The sequence below is a fragment of the Homo sapiens genome, chromosome 7 (genome assembly GCF_000001405.40).
Source record: "Homo sapiens chromosome 7, GRCh38.p14 Primary Assembly".
Taxonomy (NCBI): domain Eukaryota; kingdom Metazoa; phylum Chordata; class Mammalia; order Primates; family Hominidae; genus Homo; species Homo sapiens.
Window position 1 is genome coordinate 55,780,776 of NC_000007.14, and position 26,922 is coordinate 55,807,697.

General features: G+C 42.0%; 1 protein-coding gene and 2 pseudogenes across 1 annotated transcript in view; 2 read left to right on the forward strand and 1 right to left on the reverse strand.

Annotated features, from left to right (window-relative positions):
• On the forward strand, positions 8,593-8,699 carry RNU6-1126P (RNA, U6 small nuclear 1126, pseudogene; annotated as a pseudogene).
• Positions 12,765-26,922, reverse strand: part of SEPTIN14 (septin 14) — a 69,213-nt gene continuing 55,055 nt past the window's right edge. Inside the window, exons 8-10 of the mRNA NM_207366.3 lie at positions 26,315-26,483; positions 24,483-24,615; positions 12,765-15,317 (exon numbers count right to left, since the gene is read on the reverse strand). Of these exons, the coding sequence (NP_997249.2) occupies positions 15,138-15,317; positions 24,483-24,615; positions 26,315-26,483 (482 nt within the window). The 3' untranslated portion in view covers positions 12,765-15,137. The remainder of the gene's footprint in view (positions 15,318-24,482; positions 24,616-26,314; positions 26,484-26,922) is intronic.
• CICP12 (capicua transcriptional repressor pseudogene 12) lies at positions 17,221-18,051 on the forward strand (annotated as a pseudogene).

Here is a 26,922-nt window from a genome sequence, read left to right on the forward strand (position 1 = left end):
AACAAGTCATAGGGAGCCCAGGAATAAATTATTAAAAAATAATTAGCAATAGGCTTTACCTTGTTTTATCATTTAGTTGGTGATCTTTTCCAATTTAATTAGTCTTGCTGATATAGAAAACATTTTTAGAAGAGGCCTGTTGGGTTAAGAACAAGGCTCTTTCTAGCTGTTCTACAGAAGAAGGAGGAGGAGGAGGAGGAAGGAGAAGGAGAAGAAAGAAAAAGAAAAAGAAACAAGGCCCATTTTAGGAAACTTTTAGCCATGAGTAGAACACAGCCGAGGAAAACTCTGTTTTACATAAGAAATATATTTTGGCTAGGCACGGTGGCTCCTGCCTGTAATCCTAGCACTTTGGGAGGACAAGGCAGGCAGATCACCTGAGGTCAGGAGTTTGAGATCAGCCTGGCCAACATGGTGAAACCCTGTCTCTACTAAAAATACAAAAATTAGCGGGCGTGGTGGTGGGTGCCTGTAATCGCAGCTACTTGGGAGGCTGAGGCAGGAGAATTGCTTGAACCCGGGAGGTGGAGGTTGTGCCACTGCACTCCAGCCTGGGTGACAGAGCGAGACTCCATCTCAAAAAAGAAAAAAGAAACAGATTTCACGAAAGCACATTTAATGCAGGCAAATTTTGAGCATCAGAGAAATTGGTCTGGATTAAGTCCAGAGATACAGCATTGCTTTGGTTACAAGAATGGTTTGGAATCCCAGCTCTACTGCTTTAATAACTGCCTGTGCCTAGCAAGGTACTTAACCCCTCAGTATCTTCTCCAAAAAATGGGGATGGCAGTAGTACAGTGGTCCATGCCTCAGAGTGTTTGACGAGAATCAATTACATGGTGGCGGGCACATAATTAGTGCTCAATAAATGCTGTAGCTATTATCTTCATTCTTGTCTCTATGGGTGAAAGAAAAATGGCCGGGCGCAGTGGCTCATGCCTGTAATCCCAGCACTTTGGGAGGCTGAGGTGGGTGGATCATGAGGTCAGGAGATCAAGACCATCCTGGCTAACATGGTGAAACCCTGTCTCTACTAAAAATACAAAAAAAATTAGTTGGGCGTGGTGGCGGACGCCTGCAGTCCCAGCTACTTGGGAGGCTGAGGCAGGAGGCAGGAGAATGGCGTGAACCCGGGAGGTGGAGCTTGCACTGAGCTGAGATCGCGCCACTGCACTACAGCCTGGGCGACAGAGCAAGACTCCGTCTCAAAAAAAAAAAAAAAAGAAAAGAAAAAAGAAAAAAAGAAAAATGCAATACTGGATCAGATTAAATTCTTCCAGAAGCTGGCCGGGTGTGGTGGCTCACACTTCTAATCCCAGAACTTTGGGAGGCCAAGGGGGGCGGATCACCTGAGTTCAGGAGTTCAATACCAGCCTGGCCAGCGTGGTGAAACCCTGTCTCTACTATAAATACAAAAATTAACTGGGCATGTTGGCGGGTACCTGTAATCTCAGCTACTCAGGAGGCTGAGGCCAGTGAATTGCTTGAACCAGGGAGGCGCATGTTGCAGTAAGCTGAGATCACGCCACTGCATTCCAGCCTGGGCGACAGAGAGAGACCCTATCTCAAGAAAAGCAAAACATATAAAAAATTTTTTAAATACAGATTTTTGGGCTTTGTTTCATAGGTGATTCCCACCAGCAGAGAGACCTAAGAATGTGTATTTTTATCAAGCCCTCTAGTGACCTTTATGATCAGGCAAACTCAGGTAATAACATTGATTGTAGGGTTGGTGAGTGCTTATTTTCCAGGTTAAAATGATACTGGACATAGAGCAGCAGTTCTCAAATTTTAATGTGCTTAAGAATCACCAGGAAAGTTGTTAAAAATTAGATATCCAGAGATTTAGACATCCAGAGATTTAGATTCAGAGCTCTGGGAGACACTCAAAAATTTGCATTTTTAACCAGTTTCTTCTCTCTAGGGTAAGTCATTCAGAGGCACTTGTCTTCATCCATTCTGTGCTGCTATAACAGGTAATTTATAATGAACAGAAATTTATTTGGTTCAGGGTTCTGGAGGTTGATGAAGTCCAAGTAGAGGGGCTACATCTGCTGAGGGCCTTCTTGCTGTGGCAGACAATGGCAGAAAGTATCATATCATGAGAGAGAGCAGAAAGGGGACCGAGCTCATCCTTCATAAGGAACCCACTCACATCATAATGAACCCCACTCCCACAATAACGGCATTCATCCATTCCTGAAGGCAGAGTCTTCATGACCCAATCACCTCTTAAAGGTCCTACCTGTCAACATTATTGCATTGGGGATTAGGTTTCCAACACGTGAACTTTGGGGGATACATTCAAGCAATAGCATTCTGCCCCTGACCACCCAAATTCATGTACTGCTCACATGCAAAATACATTCATTCTATCCCAATAGCTCCAAAAGTCTTAACTTGTTTCAGGAGGACCACCTCAAAAGTTTAAAGTTCAGAGTCTCATCTAAATCAGATATGGGTGAGAACCAGGGCACAATTCATCCTGAGGCAAATTTTCCTCCAGCTGTGAGCATGTGAAATTAAAAAAAAAAAAAAAAGTGATGTGCTTCCAAAATACAATGGTAGGACAGATATAGGGTAGACGTTTTTTCTTTTCTCTTCTCTTCTCTTTTCTTTTCTTTTCTTTTCTTTTCTTTTTGAGATGGAGTTTGCTCTTGTTGCCCAGGCTGGAGTGCAATGGCGCGATCTTGGCTCACTGCAACCTCCACCTCCCAGGTTCAAGTGATTCTCCTGCCTCACCCTCCTGAGTAGCTGGGATTACAGGCATGAGCCACCGTGCCCAGCAGACGTTTTCATTTCAAAAAGGAGAAATAGGCCCAAAGAAGTAACAGGCCCAAAGTAAGTCCAAACCCAACACGGCAGACAAATTAAATCTTAAGACTCCAGAATAATCTTTTATTTCCTGCACTGCTACCTGGATACATCAGGAGGGTTGAGTCCCCAAAGCCTAGAGCAGCCCTGCCCCTCCAGAGCTAGCACTATAGGGCTACTATACTGCTGTGGCCACTGGGCTCAGTTCACACAGCAGCTCTCATGGGTTGAAGTATCATGCCTTCAGCTCTCCCAGGCTGGAGTTGCACATTATTCACTCTGTAGGTCAGCCAGGTGCAGTGGCTCACACCTGTAATCCCAGCACTTTGGGAGGCCGAGGCAGACGGATCACCTGAGGTCAGGAGTTTGAGACCAGCCTGGCCAACATGGTGAAACCCCATCTCTACTAAAAATACAAAAATTAGCTGGGCATGGTGGCGCACACCTGTAATCCCAGCTACTCGGGAGGCTGAGGCAGGAGAATCGCTTGAACCCAGGAGGTGGGGGTTGCAGTGAGCCAAGATTGTGCCACTTCATTCCAGCCTGGGTGACAGAGCAAGACTCTGTCTCAAAAAACAAGCAAACAAACAAAAAACTCTACAGTTCTTGGATCTCAGAGGTGGCCCCACTCTCACAGCTCCATTAGGCATTGCCCTGGTGGGGGCTCTCTGCAGTAGCTCCACCTCTGTGTCAAACTTCTGCCTGGGGCTCCCGACTGCTCAATACATGTTTTGAAATCTAGGTGGAGGCCACCATAGCCCCACAGCTTATACTCTGCACATATGCTGAGTTAGCACCATGTGGATGCCACCATGGTTTATAATCCTTCATCTTCTGGAGTGGTGGCTGGACCCACTTAGGCCATTGAAGTTCGTTGTATTCGTCCATTCTCACACTGCTAATAAAGACATACCTGAGACTACGTAATCTATAAAGGAAAGAGGTTTAATGGACACTGTTCAGCATGGCTGGGGAGGCCTCACAGTCGTGACGGAAGGCAAAGGAAGGCTGAAGGCACATCTTACATGGCAGCAGGCAAGAAAGCGTGTACAGAGGAACTGACCTTTTATAAAACCATCAGATGTCATGAGACTTATTCACTACAGCATGGGAAACACCTGCTCCCATGATTCAATTACCTCCTACTGGGTCCCTGCCACAACACCTGGGGATTATGGGAGCTAAAATTCAAAATGAGATTTGGGTGGGGACACAGCCAAACCATATCACTGATTTTTCCCCAGGTTCCCCCATATAAGTCAGTGGATGCAGATGGATACTTGTGACAAAGGGCACCATTGAAGTCCAGACACTAAATATGCTGAAGTCCCAGCTCCTGCCCTGCCAGGATACCCTGTCCCACCTGCCAGGACCTCCCCTCAACCACCTCCCTGTTCAGGTCAGGAGATGCCCATATATTCAAGAGAGAGTTTTCATAATTTTCTTTTCTTTTCTTTTCTTTTTTTAGACAGAGTCTTGCTCTGTTGCCCAGCCTGGAGTGTAGTTGCATGATCTCAGCTCACTGCAACCTCCATCTCACGGGTTCAAGCGATTCTCATGCCTGAGCCTCCTCAGTAGCTGGGATTACAGGCACACACCACCATGCCCAGTTCATTTTTTGTATTTTTAGTAAAGGCAGGGTTTTGCCATGTTCTCCAGGCTGGTCTCGAACTCCTGACCTCGAGTGATCTGCCCCCCTTGGCCTCCCAAAGTGCTGGGATTACAGGCGTGAGCAGCCCAGCCAGTTTTCATAATTTTCTTTACTTCCACTGTGGTGGGAGAACTGGCTTCAGAGAAAGCCATCCTTTACAGATGAGGTGGCCCCACCAGGAACAGGTTTCAATCAGGTGTTTTGGAGGCAGTGATGCCTGTGAACCCTGGTGAGAAGGAGCGTGGCATGAACATCAGGAACCAGACTTCACCCTGGAGAAGGAGAGGCCACAGGTGGGGCTGAAGGAGCAGTTCTCACAAGCAATCCTGTGGGCACTGGGGCCACACCACGCACCTTTGTGCACAAGTGTCAATGTGGCTCAGAGTGGGGTGGAGGACTCAGGGTATTAAAAGCATCAAGGAATCCAGGGGAGAGCCACCGCACCCAACTTTACTTTCACCCGCAGGCTGATGCAGCCTGAGGAAATGTTACTCCACAACGACCTCAATTCTACACACAGAACCTGTTCGCCAGGCCCTTGCCACAGGCTGTCATCTCAAAATGGGGGCCGTCAAGGCTTGTTAGAATACCTGGTACTGAGAGGAAAATTATATATATATATATATATATATATATATATATATATATATATATATATATATATATATATATTTTTTTTTTTTTTTTTTTTTTTTTTTTGAGATGGAGTCTTGCTCTGTAGCCCAGGCTGGAGTGCAGTGGTGTGATCTCGGCTCACTGCAAGCTCTGCCTCCCGGGTTCACGCCATTCATTCTCCTGTCTCAGCCTCCCGAGTAGCTACAGGTGCCCGCCACTATGCTCGGCTAATTTTTTTATATTTTTAGTAGAGACGGGGTTTCACCGTGTTAGCCAGGATGGTCTTGCTCTCCTGACCTCGTGATCTGCCCGTCTCGGCCTCCCAAAGTGCTGGGATTACAGGTATGCGCCACCAGGCCTGGCTAATTTTTGTATTTTTAGTAGAGACAGGATTTCACCATGTTGGCTAGGCTGATCTCGAACTCCTGGTCTCAGGTAATCCTCCCGCCTCGGCCTCCCAAAGTGCTAAGATTACAGGCGTGAGCCACTGCGCCCAGCCTAATTTGAACATTTTAAAATCTTGTTTTAATGTTGAAATAAAATCTCAAGTTGGTTTTTAAAAAGCTCTGTCTGAGTTGTGATGACTCACATCTGTAATTTCAGTACTTTGGGAGGCTGATGTGGGAGGAACCCCCAGGAGTTCAAGACCAGCCTGGGCAACATAGGGATACCCAGTATCTCTATAATAATAATAATAATAATAATAATAATACAAAAATTAACCAGGTCTGGTGGTGGGCACCTGTGATCCCAGCTACTTGGGAGGCTGAGGCAGAAGGATCGCTTGAGCCTGGGAGGTCAGGGTTGCAGTGAGCTGAGACTGCACAACTGCACTCCAGCCTGGGCAACAGAGTGAGACCCTGACTCAAAAAAAAAAAAAAATAGTGCTTAGTGCCACATGCCAGGAACCACGATGACAACAAGTCAGAAGGGTGTTAAGTCAGGGACCACCAAGAGCTGGCGGGGAGTCTGACTGCGGGGACCCTGCCCTTTTCCAGAAGGTGAAGGTGCAGAGAAGCTCGAAAGGATCACGACTTCTCACCCTGGCCCTGAACCCACTCACATCAGCAGCTCTCAGCATAGCCAACTGGACAGCTCGCACCAATAAATTAAACCTTATTTCTTGCCGGCACAGTGGCTCATGCCTGCAATCCCAGCACTTTGGGAGGACCAAGTGAGAAGATCACTTGAGTCCAGAAGTTCAAGACCAGCCTAGGCAACATAGTGAGACCCTGCCTCTAAAGAAAATTACGTGGGAGCTGTGGCATGTGCCTGTGATCCCAGTTACTCGGGAGGCTGAGGCAGGAGGATCTCTTGAGCTCAGGCGGTTGAGGCTGCAGTGAACTACCGCACAGCGGCACTCCAGCCTGGAGAACAAAGCAAGACCTTGTCTTATAACAAAATAAAAAAGAAGCAAGCCAGCAGGTCTAATCCATACTTAAGAGGAGGGTATCAGCCAGGCTGATATCCTCCCAAGCTACCTGGGAGACTGACACATGAGAATCACTTGAACCTGGGAGGTGGAGGTGGCAGTGAGCTGAGATCACGTCACTGCACTCCAGCCTGGGCGACAGAGCAAGACTCCACCTCAAAAAAAAAAAAAAAGAAAGAAAGAAAAGAAAAGCCCCTTCGGACTGAGTCATCTGCACAATGCCTGAATTCCTGCTATAGCCCCGGCTGATTGGCTTTTCGTTCTACGTCTGCATAGTAACATGGTTAGAAAAGATATCCTAGTTATGTTGCAATGAAAAATGTCTACCTGTAACACTCACTATTTCTTGCAGGTACCTATAACCTGTGGAAAGGGTGAAAAGCTCAGAGAATTCTATTGTCTATTTTATTTTATTTATTTTTGAGGCAGGGTCTTGCTCTGTCATCCCAGTTGGAGTGCAGTGGCATGATCATAGCTCACTGCAGCCTCAAACTCTTGGGCTCAAACAGTTCTGCCTTAGCCTCCCAAGTAGCTAGGACTACAGATTTGCACCACCACACCCGGCTATTTGTTTGTTTGTTTGGTAGATATGGGGGTCTCACTATGTTAGCCAGTCTGGTCTCAAACTCTTGGACTAGAGTGATCCTCCCACCCTGGCCTCCCAAACAGATGATGGGATTACAGGCCTGAGCCACCATGCCTGGCCATCTACTCTAAATGTTAGTTAACTGCTTTGATGGGCTGGGCGCGGTGGTTCATGCCTGTAATCCCAGCACTTTGGGAGGCTTGAGTCGAGCGGATCACGAGGTCAGGAGTTTGAGACCAGCCTGGTTAACATAGTGACACCCCATCTCCACTAAAAATACAAAAAACTAGCTGGGTATGGTGGTGGGTGCCTGTAATTCCAGCTACTTGGGAGGCTGAGGCAGGAGAATTGCTCGAACCCGGAGGTTGCAGTAAGCCGGGATCGCACCACTGCACTCCAACTCGGGCAACAGTGAGAGACTCCGTCTCAAAAAAAAAAAAACACCCCAAAAACTGCTTTGATGAAAGCTAAAGAGTAAACTGTAAATAAAAATTAGGCCTAATTTTTTGTTTGTTTTTTGTTTTTGTTTTTGAGACCAAGTCTCACTCTGTCGCCCAGGCTGGAGTGCAGTGGCATGATCTCGGCTCATTGCAGCCTCTACCTTTCAGGTTTAAGTGATTCTCATGCCTCAGCCTCCCAAGTAGCTGGGATTACAGATGCCTGCCACCATGCCCGGCTAATTTTTGTATTTTTAGTAGAGACAGGCTTTCACCATGTTGGCCAGGCTGGTCTCGAGCTCCCGACCTCAAACAATCCACCCACCTCGGCCTCCTAAAGTGCTGGGATTATAGGTGTGAGCCACCATGCCCAGCCAAGATTAGGTCTAATTTTTAAAGTCACCTGGAGCATAGAAAATGTTTCTGCAATTATTAATCTACTTTTTTTTTTTTTTTTGAGACAGGGTCTCACTCTGTCACCCAAGCTGGAGTGCAGTGGTATGATCATGGGTCACTAAAGCCTCACCCTCTTGGGCTCAAGCAAGATCTTCCTGCCTCAGCCTTCCAAGAGCTGGGATTACATGTATGCACCACCACGCCCAGCTAATTTTTAGTTCTTGTAGAGACAGAGGTCTCACTATGTTGCCCAGACTGGTTCTGAACTCTTGGGCTTGAGAGATCCTCCCACCTTGGCTTCCCCAAATGCTGGGATTACAGGCATGAGCCACCACACCTGGCCTCACATATTTTGACGTCTAAAACACCAAAGATATTTTTAAGGAGCTGAACAAACCAGTAATTTTTAAAGAAAAAAGTAGTGGGAGCATCTAGTACAACCAAAACCAGGCATCAAAGTCAGCAGTTAAACATTCCAGGCTGGGCACAGTGGCTCATGCCTGTAATCTCAACACTTTGGGAGGCCCAGGTGGGAGGATTGCTTGAGCCCTGGAAAGCGGAGGTTGCAGTAAGCCATGATCATGCCACTGTATTCCAGCCTGGAAGACACAGTGAAGCCCTGTCTCAAAAATAAAAGAACCAATAAATAAATCCAGAACCAGTGCTCACTTCGGCAGCACATATACTAAAATTGGCATGACATGGAGAAGATGAGCATGGTACCTGGGAAAGTATGACACACAAATTCATTAAGCATTTCATATTTTTAAAAAACATTTCGGAACCAAGAAAATAAATGAATCAAAAGAAAGGGAAGACCCTGGTGATTCCTTTGATATTAGAAAAAATCAGCCAGGCGTGGTGGCTCATGCCTGTAATCCCAGCAATTTGGGAGGCCGAAGCGGGCGGATCACTTTAGGTCAGGAGTTCAAGACCAGCCTGGCCAACATGGTGAAACTCCGTATCTACTAAAAGTACAAAAATTAGGCTGGGTGTGGTGGCTCACACCTGTAATCCCAGCACTTTGGGAGGCCGAGGGGGGTGGATCACCTGAGGTGAGGAGTCCAAGACCAGCCTGGCCAACATGGCACCACTGCACTCCAGCCTGGGCAACAGAGTGAGACTCTGCCTTGAAAATAATAATAATAATAAAAATAATCAATTGCAGATAGACCATAGACCTAAATGTGAAGAGGTAAAAACAATAAATCTTTTAGAATTGCTCTGTTCATGTATGGCTATTGAGCACTTGAGATGTGCTATTAAGTGTAAAATTTGCACTGGATTTTAAGCACTTAGTAGGAAAAAAAACTAAAAATATCTCAATTTTAACATTACAATTTTGAAATAATAATTTGGATATACTGAGTTAAACACTACTAAAATTAGTTTTATCTGATTATTTTTGTTCTTTTAATGTGGATACTAGATCATTTTAAATTGCATATGTGGCTTACTTCCTATTTCTATTGGACAGCACTAATGTAGAAGGTAATAAAAGATATATACTTTCAGGACGTCAAATTAGGAAAAGGTGTGTTAAATTGTATTTCAAAAGCATGAATCAGGCCAGGCGTGGTGGCTCACACCTATAATCCCAGCACTTTGAGAGGCTGAGGCAGGCAGATCACTTGAGGTTGGGAGTTCGAGATCACCCTGACCAACATAGTGAAACCCTGTCTCTACTAAAAATACAAAATTATTTGGGCATGGTGGCGCATGCCTGTAATCCCAGCTATTCAGAAGGCTGAGGCAGGAGAATCGCTTGAACCCAGGAGACAGAGGTTGCCGTGAGCCGAGATCCCAGCCTGGGCAACAAGAGTGAAACTCCATCTCAAAAAAAAAAAAATCCATGAATCATAAAGGAAAAGACTAATAGATTAATATTTGACCACACTGAAATTTTGCTGTCAAAAAGACGTAATTGAAAGACTAAAAAGCCACAGACAGGAAAATACATTTGTAGCGCCTACAAGTCTCAAAGCACTTATGCCAATAATATATAAACTCCAGCCAACTGATAAAGAAAAGACAACCCAATAGAAACATAGGAAAACATCCGGAAAAGATGCTTCACAAAAGAGAATCGTTAAATGACCAGTAAACATAAAAAAGTGTTCAGCCTCATTAATAAATCAGAAAATGCACATTAAAACCATAATGAGATACCACTACAAACCCACCAGAATTACTATAATTAAAAGAGTCGACAAGACTGTGGAGCAACAAAGATATATATTTATTCTTGTTTTTAGATGTCTCTCTCTCTATATAAATGTGCACCCAGAGACATCTAAAAACAATGGTCATGACAGTATTATTTGTAATAGCCCAGGTTGAAACAACCCAGTGTCCATTAGCAGTTGAAGGACTAAATAAATGGTGGTATATCACAGAAGGGCACAGTACATAGTAATGAAAAAAAAGAAACCACAGCTATATATAATAGCATAAATGAATTTCACAAGCATAATGTTGAGCAAAAGAAGCCAAACACAAAAGCATGCAAACTGCATAATTCCATTTATATAAGGTAAAAACAAAAACAAACCCAGCTAAGGTGATCTACAGTTTTAGAAGTCAGGATGGGGGTTCCCTTGAGGAGGAAAGAGAAGACAATGTTGGCCGGGCACAGTGGCTCACACCTGTAATCCCAGCACTTTGGGAGGCCGAGGCGGATGGATTACGAGGTCAGGAGATCGAGACCAGCCTGGCTAACACAGTGAAACCCTGTCTCTACTAAAAATGCAAAAAATTAGCTGGAAGTGGTGGCGGGCACCTGTAGTCCCAGCTACTCAGGAGGCTGAGGCAGGAGAATGGCATGAACCCAGGAGGCGCAGCTTGCAGTGAGCCGAGATCGCCACTGCTCTCCAGCCTGGGTGACAGAGCAATAATCCATCTCAAAAAAAAAGAGAAGACAATGTTTGGGAAGGGGTATGGGGGGATTCTGGGGTGCTGTTAATGTTCTATTTCATGACTTGTGTGTTAAAAATGTGTATTTTGGGCTGGGCGCAGTGGCTCACACCTGTAACCCCAGCACTTTGGGAGGCCAAGGCAGGTAGATCACCTGAGGTTAGGAGTTCAAAACCAGCCTGGCCAACATGGTGAAACCCTGTCTCTACTAAAAATACAAAAAATTAGCTGGGCATGGTGGCAGTGCCTGTAATCCCAGCTACTCGGGAGGCTGAGGCAGGAAAATCACTTGAACCCAAGGGTGGGAGGTTGCAGTGAGCCGAGATCACACCACTGCACTCTAACCTGGGCAACAAGAGCAAAACTCTGTCTCAAAAAAAGTGTATTTTGTGATGAATTTGTATGATCTATATATTTTTGAGGAAAGCGCCTTCCTGTGATGCACAATAAAAAGGTTTTGTTTTTATTTTGTATTATTTCAAAATATTTTTAAAATTTAATATCTAAATATACTATTTTAGATATTCAAAATTTCTGATGATGGCTTCACTTTTGCATCATAACATCTTTGCAATTAAATCAATTAATGTGATTAAATCAATCCATTTTTGTAGTTGGGTTGGTTCTGTGATTGCGTCATTGTGTGCCCCGACAGTCTTTAAGAGTGCCAATAAGTATATATATGTGTAATTTTTAAAAACAATTTTATAATTTCAACTTTTATTTTAGATTCAGAGAGTACATGTGCAGGTTTGTTACGTGAGTATTTCGCATGATGCTGAGGTTGGGGGTATGAACGATCCCATCCCCAGATAGTGAGCATGGTACCCAATAGGTGGCTTTTCTGCCCTTGCCTTCCCCCTCTCTTCCCTCTACCCCCTCTAGTAGCACCCTGTGTCTGCTGCCCCATCTTTATGTCCATATGTACCCAAAGTATGTCCATATGTCCCACTTGTAAGTAAGAACATGCAGCATTTGGTTTTCTGTTTCTATGTTAATTCTCTTAGGATCAGGGCCTCTGGTTGCATCCATGTTGCTGCAAAAGACATGATCTCATTCTTTTTTATGGCTGTGTAGTATTTTACAGTGTATATGTACCACATTTTCTTTATCCAGTCCACCACTGATGGGCATATAAGTTGACTTCATGTCTTTACCATTGTGAATAGTGCTGCGATAAACATACAAGTGCATGTGCCTTTTTGGTAGAATGATTTATTTTCTTTTGGGTCTATACCAAGTAATGAGATTGCTGGGTAAATGGTAGTCCTGAGCAGACTGTTTGAGGCCAGGAGTTTGTGACCAGCCTGGGCAACATGGCAAAACCCCATCTCTACTAAAAATACAAAGAAATTAGCTGGGCATAGTGGCACATGCCTGTAGCCCCAGCTACTTGGGAGGCTGAGATGGGAGAATCACTTGAACCCAAGAGACGGAGGTTTCAGTGAGCTGAGATCACACCACTGCACTCCAGCCTGGGTGACAGAGCAGGACTCTGTCTCAAAAAACAAAAAAAAGACAATGTGAGAATCTTAAAAGCTCAGAGAGAAGAGTAACTCTCACAGACAAGGGATCCGGTTAACATTAGCAGCTGATTTCTCAGCAGAAAACTTGGAAGGCCAGTAGATAGTGGATTATATATTTAAAATAATGAAGAAACATGTCAATTGAGAAGTCTATAGCTGGAAAACCTGTCCTTCAAAAATGAGGGAGAAATTAAGACATTTCCAGCTTTTTTTTAAAAGCTGAGAAATCCATTTATCTCTAAATTTGCCATACAAGAAGTGTTAAAGTCCTTCAGGTTGAAATAAATGAACTCTAGGCAGTAATTATATAAGTAAATAAGCAAGTTATATGAATATATAAAGCCCTCTGGTAAAGGTAAATACATAAACAAACATAAAAACAGTATTATTGTAATTTTGGTTTGTAACTCCGCTTTTTATTTTCTACAGGATTTAAAAGACAAATGCATAAAATGTAATTATAAATCTGTTAGGTGGTGTACAATGAATAAAGATACAATTTGTTACATCAATAACCTAAAAAGAGTAGACCTATATAGCAGTAGAATTTTGGTATGTGATTGAAGTTAAGTTGAAATAAATTCAAATCAGAATGTTATAACTCCAGGATGTTATATGTAATTTTCATAGTAACCAAAAACGAAATCTACATAGAATATACACAAAAGGAAATGAGAATAGAAACAAAACTTGTCACTACAAAAAAAATCAACTAAAGATAAAAGAAGTAAATAATTGAGAAAATGACTGGCAAAAATCAGTAACTGACGTATTAAAACTTTCCATGCTACATAAATCTGGAAACTCTATTTCACATGAAACTGGAGCTGAAAGAGACAAATATTTACTTATAAAGTTAAAAGTTATATGGAAAACCAACACTAATTTTTTTTAGAAAAAATTATGGAAAATAAAAATATGCCTTATAGTATCATATAATATCATGTTTTATAGCTCTTGGAAAATAGAAAATAAAATGTTCTGTTAGCATGAATCCTTCTGTGCCCTCAAAAACCCTATGGATTATACCATTATTACCTAAAAAGTCTATTCTCAAATGCAGCACAATGATAATTTTTATAAGGTAGATGTTATTTTTAAATATGGAATAATATTGGTGATTTCAGTTTCAGTTTTAATAACATTGGATTAAGATGAAAGAATGAGAAGATAAAGGTCCCTCAGCAATATAACTCACAAACATGTTCAGAAGCAGTAAGAAGTTACATTAATTATCTTTTGAAAGTCAATAATCTACATTTTTAATGTATGCATATGGCATAGCTAATGTACTATTGCTGGGTCCATTTATTCAATGAATAATTGCTGCTATGCGTCAGACATTTTTCTAGGCCTAGGAATGGATACATAAGTGAACAAAGCAAAGATTCTGGTTCTTGTAGAGTTTCCATTAAAAGATCATTTAGTAAAATTTTTCTTCCCCCAAATTATAAAATCTGTAAGATGATTTAACAATATGTATAAAAGTCATTGTGGGTCAGGCACAGTGGCTTATACCAGGTGTGGTGACTCAGCGCTCTGTCACCCAGGCTGGAGTGCAGTGGCGCAATCTCTGCTCACTACAACCTCTGCCTCCTGGCTACAAGCGATTCTCCTGCCTCAGCTTTCCGAGTAGCAGGGACTACAGGTGCACAACACCACACCCGGCTAACTTTTGTATTATTAGTAGAGATGGGGTTTCGTCATGTTGGCCGGGCTGTTCTCAAGCTCCTGACCGCAAGTGATCCGCCCACCTCGGCCTCCCAAAGTGCTGGGATTACAGGTGTGAGCCACCACACCTGGCCTTATTTTCTACAACTTTGATAACTTTGGCATATACCCCAAATCTGTAACACATAATATTATCATTCAAATGCAACTCTTTCTCTAGCTTTTGAATTCTTTATTCTAATATCAGTTTTAAGTCTGACACAAAAGCATGGGAGTTCTTATCAAATTCCAACCTTTTATCATAAAAACTGTCAAGAAATTATCAGTAGTAGAACTTAAAAAGGAAAATAGGCCTATTAATTAGATTTGTATAACTTAACATTTTATGCCTATGAGTCCCCAACAAAGCCTCCAGCTTCTATTTGGATATAAAAGTTAAAAGTCACTACTGGATCCAAAAGCAGGACTATGGTAAATAAATTTCTCCACCTAACCAGCTCCTTTTACATGATGCTACGTGTTTCTTTTGTTTTTTCATTTTGGCAAATATTGATTGAAAGTCATATTTGTGTTAGTGTACGTCCTAAGTGCCAAGATACAGAATCTGAAAAGAGGGACACAGGATCTGCCTTCTGGGAGTTCATACTTTTTTTTTTTTTTTTTTTTTTGAGGCGGAGTTTTGCTCTTGTCACCCAGGCTGGAGTACAATGGTGAGATCTTGGCTCACTGCAACCTCCACCTCCGGGGTTCAAGTGATTCTCCTGCCTCAGCCTCCCAAGTGGCTGGGATTACAGGTACCGGCCACCAAACCCAGCTAATTTTTGTATTTTTAGTAGAGGCAGGGTTTCATCATTTTGGTCAGGCTGGTTTTGAACTCCTGACCTCAGGTGGTCCACCCGCCTCAGCCTCCCAAAGTGCTGGGATTACAGGCATGAGCCACCACACCCCGCTAGGAGTTCACACTTTAGTTGGGGAAAATATACAATAAGCAAGCCAATTTTTAAAATGAGAACTTCAGAGTTAAATGCTACAAAGACAATCTCACAGGAAGTTGCGATGTAGAATGATAGGGCTCTCAGAATAGTAAGAGAAACTATTATTTCTTACGATGTTTGTCTTTCTTTGTATCGGTGCTCAGCTGAGTCTGCAGTGCTTCGGAGGCAGCTTTCATTTTATAAAAATCTATGATTTCTCCTTCCAGTTGTTTTTTCTCTTCCTCGAGCTTCCTTATCTCCTCCTGTTGAATCATTTTAAGATGCTCGAACTTGTCCTGCAGCTGTGAAACCAATGTGCAGTTGTGACACCAAAGCACAGTGTGGCTGAACACCCAAAAGAATATGCTTTTTTCTAAATATCAAACAAACCCAAATCATCACAGTAGAGCATGATCTTAATAACAACCTCAAAAACTCAGGAGTAAACACTGAGATATGGAATTTTTCTTTTCTTTCTTTTTTCCTTTTTTGAGATGGAGTCTCACTCTGCTGCCCAGGCTGGAGTGCAGTGGCGCGATCTCAGCTCACTGCAACCTCCATCTCCTGGTTCGAGTGATTCTCCTGCCTTAGCCTCCCGAGAAGCTGGGACTACAGGCATGCACCACCATGCCCAGCTAATTTTTGTATTTTTAGTAGAGACGGGGTTTCACCATGTTGGCCAGGCTGGTCTTGAACTCCTAACCTCAGGTGATCCTCCCGCTTTGGCCTCCCAAAGACTTTTTTTTAATATAGAAGCAAGGTCTCACTATGTTGCCCAGGCTGGTCTCAAACTCCTGAGCTCAAGTGATCCTCCCACCTCAGCTTCCCAAAGTGCTGGGACTGACTGGATGCAGTGGCTCATGCTTGTAAACTCAGCACTCTGGGAGGCCAAGGCAGAAGGATCGCTTGAGTCCAGGAGTTCAAGACCAGCCTGGGCAATGTAACACAATAGTAAACTTCAACAGGAGAGAGCATCTGTAAAATTGAATATAGATCATCTGAAATTATCCAGTGAGAGGACAAAGAAAAAAAGAATAAAAAAGAGAAAAGAAGGCTGGGCGTGGTGGCTCACACCTGTAATCCCAGCACTTTGGTAGGCCGAGGCAGGCAGATCACAAGGTCAGGAGTTCAAGACCAGCCTGGCCAACATAGTGAAACCCCGTCTCTACTAAAAATACAAAAAGTAGCTGGGTGTGGTGGTACATGCCTGTAGTCCAAGCTATTTGGGAGGCTGAGGCAGGAGAATCACTTGAACCCAGGAGGCGGAGGTTGCAGTAAGCCGAGACCGTGCCATTGCACTCTAGCCTGGGCAACAGAGAGAGACTCCATCTCAAAAAAAGAAAAAAAAAGAGAGAGAGAAAAGAAAGCCAATGAGACACCATTAGGCAAACCACTGTCAGGTTATGGGAGTCTGAGAAGGAAAGTAGAGAAAGGAGAAGAAAGCTTATATAAAGAAAGAATGGCTGAAAACTCTCTAAATCATGGGAAAGATTTAGACATCCAAATCCATGAAGCTTAAAGATTCCTAAAGAGGTTCAAACCAAATAGATACTCACCAAGTCACAATATAATCAAATAGTCAAAAGTCAAAGATTTTTTAAAATGTTGAAGAGGCAAGAGAAAAGTGGCATGACATAGACAAGAGAATCTTCATTAGACTATCAGCAGATTTCTCAGAAGGAACTTTGCAAGTCAGGAGAGAATCAAATAATACATTCAAAGTGCTGAAAGAAAAAACTGCCAGCAACTAATACTATGTCTGACAAAGCTAACCTTCAGAAAGAAAGAAGAAATAACATGTTTCCTCGACAAACAAAGCTGAGGGAATTCAGGACCACTAGGTGTACCTTAAAAGAAATGCTTAAGGGAGTTTTTCAAGTAAAAATGAAAGAATGCAGCTGGGCATGGTGGCTCATGCCTGTAATCCCAGCATTTTGGGAGGCCGAGGTGGGTGGATCACCTGAGGTCAGGAGGTCAAGACCAGCCTGGCCAACATGGCGAAACCCTATCTCTACTAAAAATACAAAAAATTAGCCAGGTGTGGTGGCAGCTGCTGAGATTGCACCACTGCACTCCAGCCTGGGTGACAAGAGCCAAACTGCATCTCAAACAACAACAACAACAAAAAACTTGAGGCCTGGCCTCCTACTCCCCTCCCACTCCCCTTCTCCAGGCCCAAGCCACCTTGGCTGAGGAGGGGGCTGAGGAAGTGTGAGCCCCTGCCAGGAACCCCTGCCCAGACCATGTACTCGGCCCACAGGCCCCTGATGCTTGCATTCAGCAAGGCCTCCCGTGGCCTCGGCATGTTCAGGTAGAGGAACGTGGAACCTCGCTCTTTGGCTGTGTTCCCCTGGTACTCCATCTCCTTCCTGACCCCTCCCTGCAGCCACGCAAAGCCCAGCAACCTGCCAGACACTCAGTGGCCTCCAACTAGACAAAAGAACCTGCTGAGTTGGCAGCTGTTGCTCATGAGCGTCCACCAGGTGGGACAGGGAGTGCTGACCCTGGGCGGCCCCCTGAAGCCACCTGCCCTGAAAGCCCAGGGCCCAGAACCCCACACACTTTGGGGGTGGTGGAACCTGGTAAGGGCCCACCTTCCACCATGGAGGAGGAGCCCTGGGCCCCTCAGGGGAGCCCCTGCTGGACAGTGAGACAGAGAATGACCACAATGATGCTTTCCTCTCCGTCATGTCTCCTGACACCCAGTTGCCTCTACCACCCAAATGATGTCAGGCCCAGTCTCTCAGTGCCCTGCCCAAGGAACAGAACTCATCTTCTGAGAAGGATGGACGCAGCCCCAACAAATGGGACAAGGACCACATCCGGCAGCCCGTGAGTGGCACTCATGATCTTCAGCAAGCGGCACCAGGCTCTGGCAGGGCCCACCAGTGTCACCCCAACCAGGACAACTGGACCGTCAGCCAGATCCTGGGCGAGTGGTGGTACACTCTGGGGCCCAATGAGAGGCAGAAGTACCATGACCTGACCTCCCAGGTGAAGGTGGCCCACTTGCAACAAGGACCGAAAGAAGTCCAGGCCCGGAGACTCACACCTGTAATCCCAGCACTTTGGGAGGCTGGGGCGGGCGGATCACCTGAGGTCAGAAGTTGGCCTGGCCAACATGGTGAAATCCCGTCTCTACTAAAAATACAAAAATTAGCCGGGAGTGGTGTTGGGCAACAAATCACAAAGGAAGACAGAAAGAGAGGAACAAAGAAACTACAAAACAGTCAGAAAACAATTAATAAAATGATAATAGTAAGTCCTTACCTATAAAAATTACTTTAAAAGTAAATAGATTAAGCCCACTAATCACAAGACACAAAGTAGCAGAATGAATAAAGAAACAATTCTCAATAATATGTGGCTTACAAGAGACTCACTTTTGCCTTAAGGACACACTTAGACTAAAAGTGAAGGAATAGAAAAACATGGCTGGGCGCAGTGGCTCATGCCTGTAATCCCAGCACTTTGGGAGGCCAAGGCAAATGGATCACTTGAGGTCAGGAGTTCAAGACCAGTCTGGCCAACATGGTGAAACGCCATCTCTACTAAAAATACAAAAAAAAAAAAAAAAATTAGCCACGCCTTGTAGTGGGCACCTGTAGTCCCAGCTACTCAGGAGGCTGAGGCAGGAGAATCTCTTGAGTCCAGGAGGTAGAGGTTGCAGTGAGCTGAGATCGTGCCACTGTACTCCAGCCTAGGTGACAGAGCAAGACTCTTGTCTCAAAAAAAAAAAAAAAAAAAAAAAAGGAAAAAGAAAAAGATATTCCATGCAAATTATAGGCAAAAGAGGACAGGGCAGGTATACTTATTGCAGACAATTAGACTTTTGGTCAAATGTTGTCATAAGAGACAATATCACTATATAATAATAAAGAAATCAATTTATAAAGAGGTTATAACAATCATCAAATATATGACAACATTGGAGCACCTAATATATAAAGCAAATATTAACAGAAATGAAGGAAGAAACTTACAGCAATATGAGAACAGTAGGGGACTACTGTATCCCACTTTCAGCACCAGATAGTCCATCCAAACAGAAAGTAAGTAGGGAAAGAGTAGATGTGAATAACTATAGACCCAATAGACCAAATAGGCATAGATAGATTATTTCACTGAACAGTAGAAGAATACATTCTTCTCAAGGGCACAGGAACATTCTCCAACATAGATCATATATTGGGCCACAAAATGACTCTTAACAAATTTTAAAAGTTTGAAATCATATTATGTATCTTTTTATCATAATAGTATAATATTAGAAATCAATAACAGAAAGATTTTATTATTGAAGCACTATTCATAATAGCCAAAATTTGGAAGCAACCTAACTGTCCACAACAGATGAGTGGATGAAAAAAAATGTCACATATACACAGTGGACTACTATTCAGCCATAAAAAAGAATGAGATCCTGTCACTTGCAACAACATGGATGGAACTGGAGGACCTCACGTTAAGTGAAATAAGCCAGGCACAGAATGATAAACTTCACACGTTCTCACTTACTTGTGGGAGCTAAAAATTAAAATAATTGAACTCAGTCAGGCGCAGTAGCTCACACCTGTAATCCCAGCACTTCAGGAGGCTGAGGCAGGTGGATCACCTGAGGTCAGGAGTTTGAGACCAGCCTGGCCAACATGGTAAAACTCCATCTCTACTAAAAATACAAAAATTAGCTGGGTGTGGTGGCACATGCCTGTAATCCCAACCACTTGGGAGGCTGAGGCAGGAGAATCGCTTGAACCCAGGAGGCAGAGGTTGCAGTGAGCTGAGATCCCACAGCCGCACACCAGCCTGGGTGACAGAGCGAGACTTTGTCTCAAAAAAAAAAAAAATTAAACTCATGGAGATAGAGAATGAAATGATGATTACCAGAGGCTGGGAAGGGTGGTAGGGGTGGGGGGAAGTGAGGACATTTCTTGGTACAAAAATATAGTTAGAAAGAATAAATAAGACGCAGTATTTGATAGCACAACAGGGTCACTATACACAATAATAATTTAATTGTACCTTTTAAAATAACTGAGTATCATTGGATTTCTTGTAACACAAAGGACAAATGCTTGAAGGGATAGATATCCCATTTAACTTGATGTGATTATTACACATTGTATGCCTATATCAAAATATCTATCGTACCCCATAAATATGTATACCTACTAGGTACCCATAGAAATTAAAAATTAAAAAATATACATCTCTTGACACAAATGAAGATAAAAAACAACATATCAATAGTTATGGGATACAGCAAAAGCAGTTTAAGAGTGAAGTTTATTGCAATAAATGCCTATATTAAGAAAAAATAGATTAAATAATGTAATTTCACACCTCAAAAGAAAAAGAAAAACAAACCAAGCGCAAAGTCAGTAAAAGCAAGAAAATAGTAAAAATCACAGCAGAAATAAATAAGATATAGACTAGAGAAACAATAGAAGAAAATCAATGAACTAAGTGTTTTTTAAAAAGATAAATAAATGAACAACCCTTAGAAAAACTAAGAAAAAAAGAGAGAAAACTCAAACAAATAAAATCAGAAATGAAAGGTGACACATAACCACTGACACCAAAGAAATACAAATGATCATGAGACTACTATGAAAAATTATAAGCCAACAAAATTTGATAACCTAAAAAAGAAATTGGATATCCTTGGTTAATAAATTCTTATAACCACACGATCTACGAAGACTGGATCATGAAGAAACTGAAAATCTGAAAAGACTACTAATAGGTAAGGAGATTTAATCAGTAACAAAAAATGCTACCAAAGAAAAGGCCGTACTAGGTGACTTTACTGGGGAAGGCTACAAAACATTTAAAATGGAAATAATAGGCCAGGTGCAGTGGCTCATGCCTGCAATCCCAGCAGTTTAGGAGGCTGAGGTGGGCAGATCACTTGAACTCAGGAGTTCGAGACCAGCCTGGGCAGCATAGTGAGACCCCATCTCTACTAAAAGTACAAAAAAATAGCCAGGCACGGTGGTACATGCCTGCGGTCCCAGCTACTCGAGAAGCTGAGGTGGGAGGATCACTTGAGCCTGGGAGGTGGAAGTTGCAATGAGCTGAGATCGTGCCACTTCACTCCAGCCTGGGTGACACAGCGAGATCTTGTCTTAAATAGATAAATAAAATGGAAAAATACAAAAATACTTCCCAAAGTCTTCCAAAGAATGGAAGAGGAGAGTATGGTTTCTTTTTTTTTTTTTTTCTATGAGACGGAGTCTTGCTCTGTCTCCAAGGCTGGAGTGCAGTGCAGTGGTGCGATCTCAGCTCACTGCAACCTTCACCTCCTGGGTTCAAGCGATTCTCCTGCCTCAGCCTCCTGAGTAGCCAGGATTACAGCCGCACACCACCACGCCCGGCTAATTTTTATATTTTTAGTAGAGATGGGGTTTCGCCAAGTTGGCCAGGCTGGTCTTGAACTCCTGACCTGACGTGATCTGCCTGCCTCGGCCTCCCAGAGTGCTGGGATTACAGGCATGAGCCACCTCGCCTGGCCAGGAGAATACACTTCTAAATGCATTCGAAGAAGACATTATTACTCTGATACTACAGCCAGAAGAGGACACTATGAGAAAAAAAAATTATAGGCCAACATTTGTGATGAGCCAACTAGGAAATCCTCAACAAAATACTAGCAAACTGAATTAGATCGCACATTAAATATCAGATGGCCAAGTGGAATTTATTCTTGGAATGCAAGGATGATTCAAATACACAAATCAATAAATGTGACCACATGCAGAAAAAAAAATTAGATCTTTATCTCAAAACATATGTAAATCTCAACTCAAAATGGATGAAAGACTTAACCGCTATAAGATCTAAAGCTGTACAACTACTTTAAAAAATTAGGGATAAGTTCCTTAACTTGGGTCTGACAATGATTTTTTTGGATACAAACTCCAAAGCATAGACAACATAGGCAAAAATGGACAAATAAAATTATATCAAACTAAAAAGCTCCTGCACAGCCAAAAAAAAAAATCAACAGACTAAAGAAACAAACTATGAAATGTGAGAAAATATTTGCAAACTGTACATCTGATAAGGGGTTAATGCCCCAAATATACAAGAACTCAAATAATTCAATAGTATGAAAACCTCATTCCGAAAATGGGCAATGAAACTGAACTTTTTTTTTTTTTTTGAGATGGAGTCTCACTCTGCTGCCCAGGCTAGAGTGCAGTGGTGCAATCTGGGCTCACTGTAACCTCTACCTCCCGGGTTCAAGTGATTCTCCTACCTCAGCCTCCCGATTAGCTGGGACTACAGGCGTGTGCCACCACATCTGGCTAATTTTTGTATTTTTAATAGAGACAAGGTTTCACCATGTTGGTCAGGCTGGTCTTTAACTCCTCACCTCAAATGATCCGCCCACCTCCACCTCCCAAAGTGCTGGGATTATAGGCGAGAGCCACTGCACCCGGCTGAACCTGAACATTTTTTAAAAGAAGACATAAAAGGCAAATAGGGATATGAAAAAAATATTCAACCTCATTAATCATCAGAGAAATGCCAATTTAAACCACAATTAGATGGCACCTCATATCTGTTAGAAAAACAGAAAGATAAGTGTTTACAAGAATGATTTTATAGAAAGATAAGTATTTACAAAAAAAGGTAAGTGTTTATAAGAATAATTTTATAAAACAATGATAAAAAAGTAAATCAGTACAGCTATTATGAAAAATATGGGTATTCATTAAGCAACTGAAAATAGAATAACCATATGGTTCAGCAACCCCACTAATAGTTATGTGTTCAAAGGAAATAAAATCAGTATGTCAAAGAGATATCTACACTTTCATGTTTATTGCAGCATTAATTGACAATAATCAAGACATGTAATCAACCCTAAGAGAACACATAGTTGAGATATGGAAAAGAAACTAATCTCCAGAGAGAAAGAAAAAAGAAGCAGACGTACAGGAATAAGGTTCATAACTAAGGGAAGTGAGGTGGGAGAGAAAGAGAAAATTTAAATGGTTGCTTCGGTTTCTGGTCACTTCCTAGTTTTGGTTTAAGTCTTCATGAGGCCAGGCGCGATGGCTCATGTCTGTAATCCCAGCACTTTGGGAGGCCGAGGCAGGCGGATCACGAGGTCAGGAGATCGAGATCATCCTGGCTAACACGGTGAAACCCCATCTCTACTAAAAATACAAAAAAAAAAAAAAAAATTTAGTTGGGCACGGTGGTGAGCGCCTGTAGACCCAGCTACTCGGGAGGCTGGGGCAGGAGAATGGCGTGAACCCAGGAGGCGGAGCTTGCGGTGAGCCCAGATCGCGCCACTGCACTCCAACCTGGGTAACAGAGCAAGACTCTGTCTAAAAAAAAAAAAAAAAAAAAAAAAAGTCTTCATGAGATCCAGCTATGTCTCTTGTCCTTAGATGTCATGACGTACCCTTGTATACATCCAAACTTTTTCCTTTATACCTAAGCTAATGGTTTGGTTTTTTTTGTTTTTTTTTTTTGAGACGGAGTCTCACTCTCGCCCAGGCTGGAGGCAGTGGCACCATCTCGGCTCACTGCAACCTCCACCTACTGGGTTCAAGCGATTCTCCTACCTCAGCCTCCCGAGTAGCTGGAATTATAGGCATGCAGCACCATGCCCAGCTAATTTTTATATTTTTAGTTGAGACGGGGTTTCACCACGTTGGCCAGGCTGGTCTTGAACTCCTGGCTTTAGGGGATCCGCCCGCCTCCATCTCCCAAAGTGCTGGGATTATAGGTGTGAGCCACCGCACCCGGCTGGAATTTTTATTACTTATAATTCAACTGTCTTTGAATGAGACATCTGGCCTATAGCACCTAATTACTACTATTCTGTTCTTATGAAAAAGGAAGTTTATGTTCCAATTTACCTAATTAAACTAAATGTTCTTAAACTAAAGCCACCTACACTTGAGAGAAAGAAATTATGGTTTCAAAAATATGTCTTCACCAAAAACGTATTTGTGGCAAATAATTAAAACGATATTAATAGCTTTTTTCCCCATTTTATTAGAAATGGCATGGAATAACATAATTTACCAACTTAAAATTTTCTCATTAATCAAGGCCAGCATTAGTCAACATTTGCTTTTTATAAAAGTGAAGACAATTTTCTAGTGCATTAATAGCATTAGACAGTACAAGACTCTTCTCAGAGTAAATAGCTTGGGTTTGTCACAAATTAAACTTTATGCATGAAAATTTAAATTATAAATAAAACATAATTTTTATAAAATTATCTTCAGGGTTATTTAAATGGGAAAATTAAGTTCTCTAGAAAAAACACTACAGACTATAATTTTGTAAAGGCTATATTCAAGTCTACATGGTAAAAAGCTACTTTTTGAAAAATAGCAAGTATCCTCCAAAAACATCAAGTAAACTCTTGAGATTAAAACCCCCAAATTAATAGGGCACCTAAAAATTAATACAAATTATATCAAACTGTCAGTACTAACCTCTTTTTCAGCTTCTTTAAATGTTGCTTCTTTCTCCTTGACTCGCTGCATAAATCTCTGTTTCAACTCTTCTTCTTCCCTCTGACATTGATCATAGAACTCTTGTCTTTTGGCTTCAAAGATTTCTTGAAAACTAAAGAGAAATGTTTTCTTAGTCTTATATTAAAATGAGGTAGGAGGATCGCTTGAACCCAGGAGGCGGAGTTTGCAGAGAATCAAAATCGTGCCACTGCACGTCAGCCTGGGAGACAGAGTAAGACTCCATCATAAAAAAATAAAATAAAATGAAAAATAAAAACACACTAGTATAAACATGTAAAAAATATATATTGTATGTTACATCCTATATAAGGAAATTTACCAACATTCTCTCATGTTTAGCAGCACAAAATGGAAATTTCCATATCATAAGATGTAAAAACCAAGGCACAATACTTAAGATCAGAGTATATAGACAGTATATGTAAAGAATACTAGAATTTTCCAACACTTATATGAGTGAATTCTTATCCCCACCACTTTCCAGGATATCATACATTTTCATATCTTTTGACAATAACATTCAGGGAAACCTCTAATGTATGAGACGATTTTCAAAAATCCTCTAAAATAAAGCAAAAAGTCTTTCAAAATATCATCATTCATTTAAGATAGTTAAATTTTGGGTGTCTACAAAGAACAATGAATGATATAACTAGATTATATACACTACAGTGCCATGTTTTTGCAACACAAGTCCTATTCTTCTTTTTTTTTTGAGACAGAGTCTCTCTTTGTCGCCCAGACTGGAGTGCAGTGGCACGATCTCAGCTCACTGCAATCTCTGCTGCCCAGGTTCAAGCGATTCTCCTGCCTCAGCCTCCCGAGTTAACTGGGATTACGGGCACCCGCCACCACGCCCAGCTAATTTTTTTTGTATTTTTAGTAGGGACGGAGCTTTACCATGTTGGCCAGGCTGATCTTAAACTCCTGACCTCAGGTAATCTGCCTGTCTCGGTTTCCCAAAGTGCTGGGATTACAGGCGGGAGCCACTGCACCCGGCTCTATTCTTCAAGTTAGAGCAAACACCTGCTCTCAAACTTTTCTCATTTAACTTCCAGGATGCTGCACTACTGCTTTTCAGCTGGTTCCTCCATCAAACTCTTCTTAATGTCTTTTGTCAAACTTTGCTAATATTTTTCCATCTTTTTCTTTATCCTTTCTTTTTTTTTCTTTTTTTTTTTAAGATGGAGTCTTGCTCAGTCCGCCACGCTGGAAGTGCAGTGAGGTGATCTCAGCTCACTGCAACCTCCGCCTCCAGGGTTCAAGCGATTCTCCTGCCTCAGCCTCCCAAGTGGCTGGGATACAGGCGTGTGCCACCATGCCCGGCTACTTTTTGTATTTTTAGTAGACACAGGGTTTTACCATGTTGGCCAGGCTGCTCTCAAATACCTGACCTTAGATGATCCGCCCGCCTCAGCCTCCCAAAGTGCTGGGATTACAGGCATGAGCCACAGCGCCCGGCCTATCCTTTCTTTCACATAATACAGATACATTTCATATAAATACAAAAAATGGAACAAAATACTGGGTTTTTTCATCAATATACATTTCAGCATATATACATATTGAATACACATATTTCAGCATAAAAATGAGATCTCGCATTATATTGTTCCTACTATCTCTACCTTCGTCAAAAGATCATAAAAACACCTAACATTCAGGTGTTTTCTTTATGATGGCTCAAGATGGGAGAAGTATAATTATTCTCATATCCAAATTATCATACCTTGTGTTTGTAGGGACTCCTAAATTATCCATTTGGTTGTGCTAGCAATATTTTTACTCACCTAACTGGCTGGTTGTTTGGACCCACATCTGTAAAGCCCATTTTCTGCAGTTTTTGGTACCTATAACATTCATAGTGCTGAGTGTGGGTTTTTTCTTTTAGATTTTCCATATTGGTACAAAGAAGCATATCTCGGAGCTTAACGAAGTCACAGTGATTTTCATTTTCCACTAGTAAAAAAATAATAATGAATCAACAACATTCAGTATCAATCCCTGACAATCAGTAAGTGTTCATGAATGAATACATGAATAAAAAACACATTTAAAATAACACACAACTGAACAATTTGATTAATAGCTATAATTCTTTTAAGCATGTAAGTGTGGTTGTACTATACATACCAACCATAGGCAGAGATTATTTATAGGTTAGCAAATTTGCTTTAAACTTATTACCTGAAGAATAAGCAGGAAATAGTGAAATAATATTTTATGTGCATATATGCCATAGGTTTTTATTAACAATTGTGTAGTATGTTATAAACTACCTCTGGGTATTTTGGAGTGCTAACAGAATATGTAATATAACATCACTAGTGTAAATAATTTTATCAGAGTAAATTCTGCTAGCAAAAAGGCCTTACAATTGAAAATACTTTAGTTACAT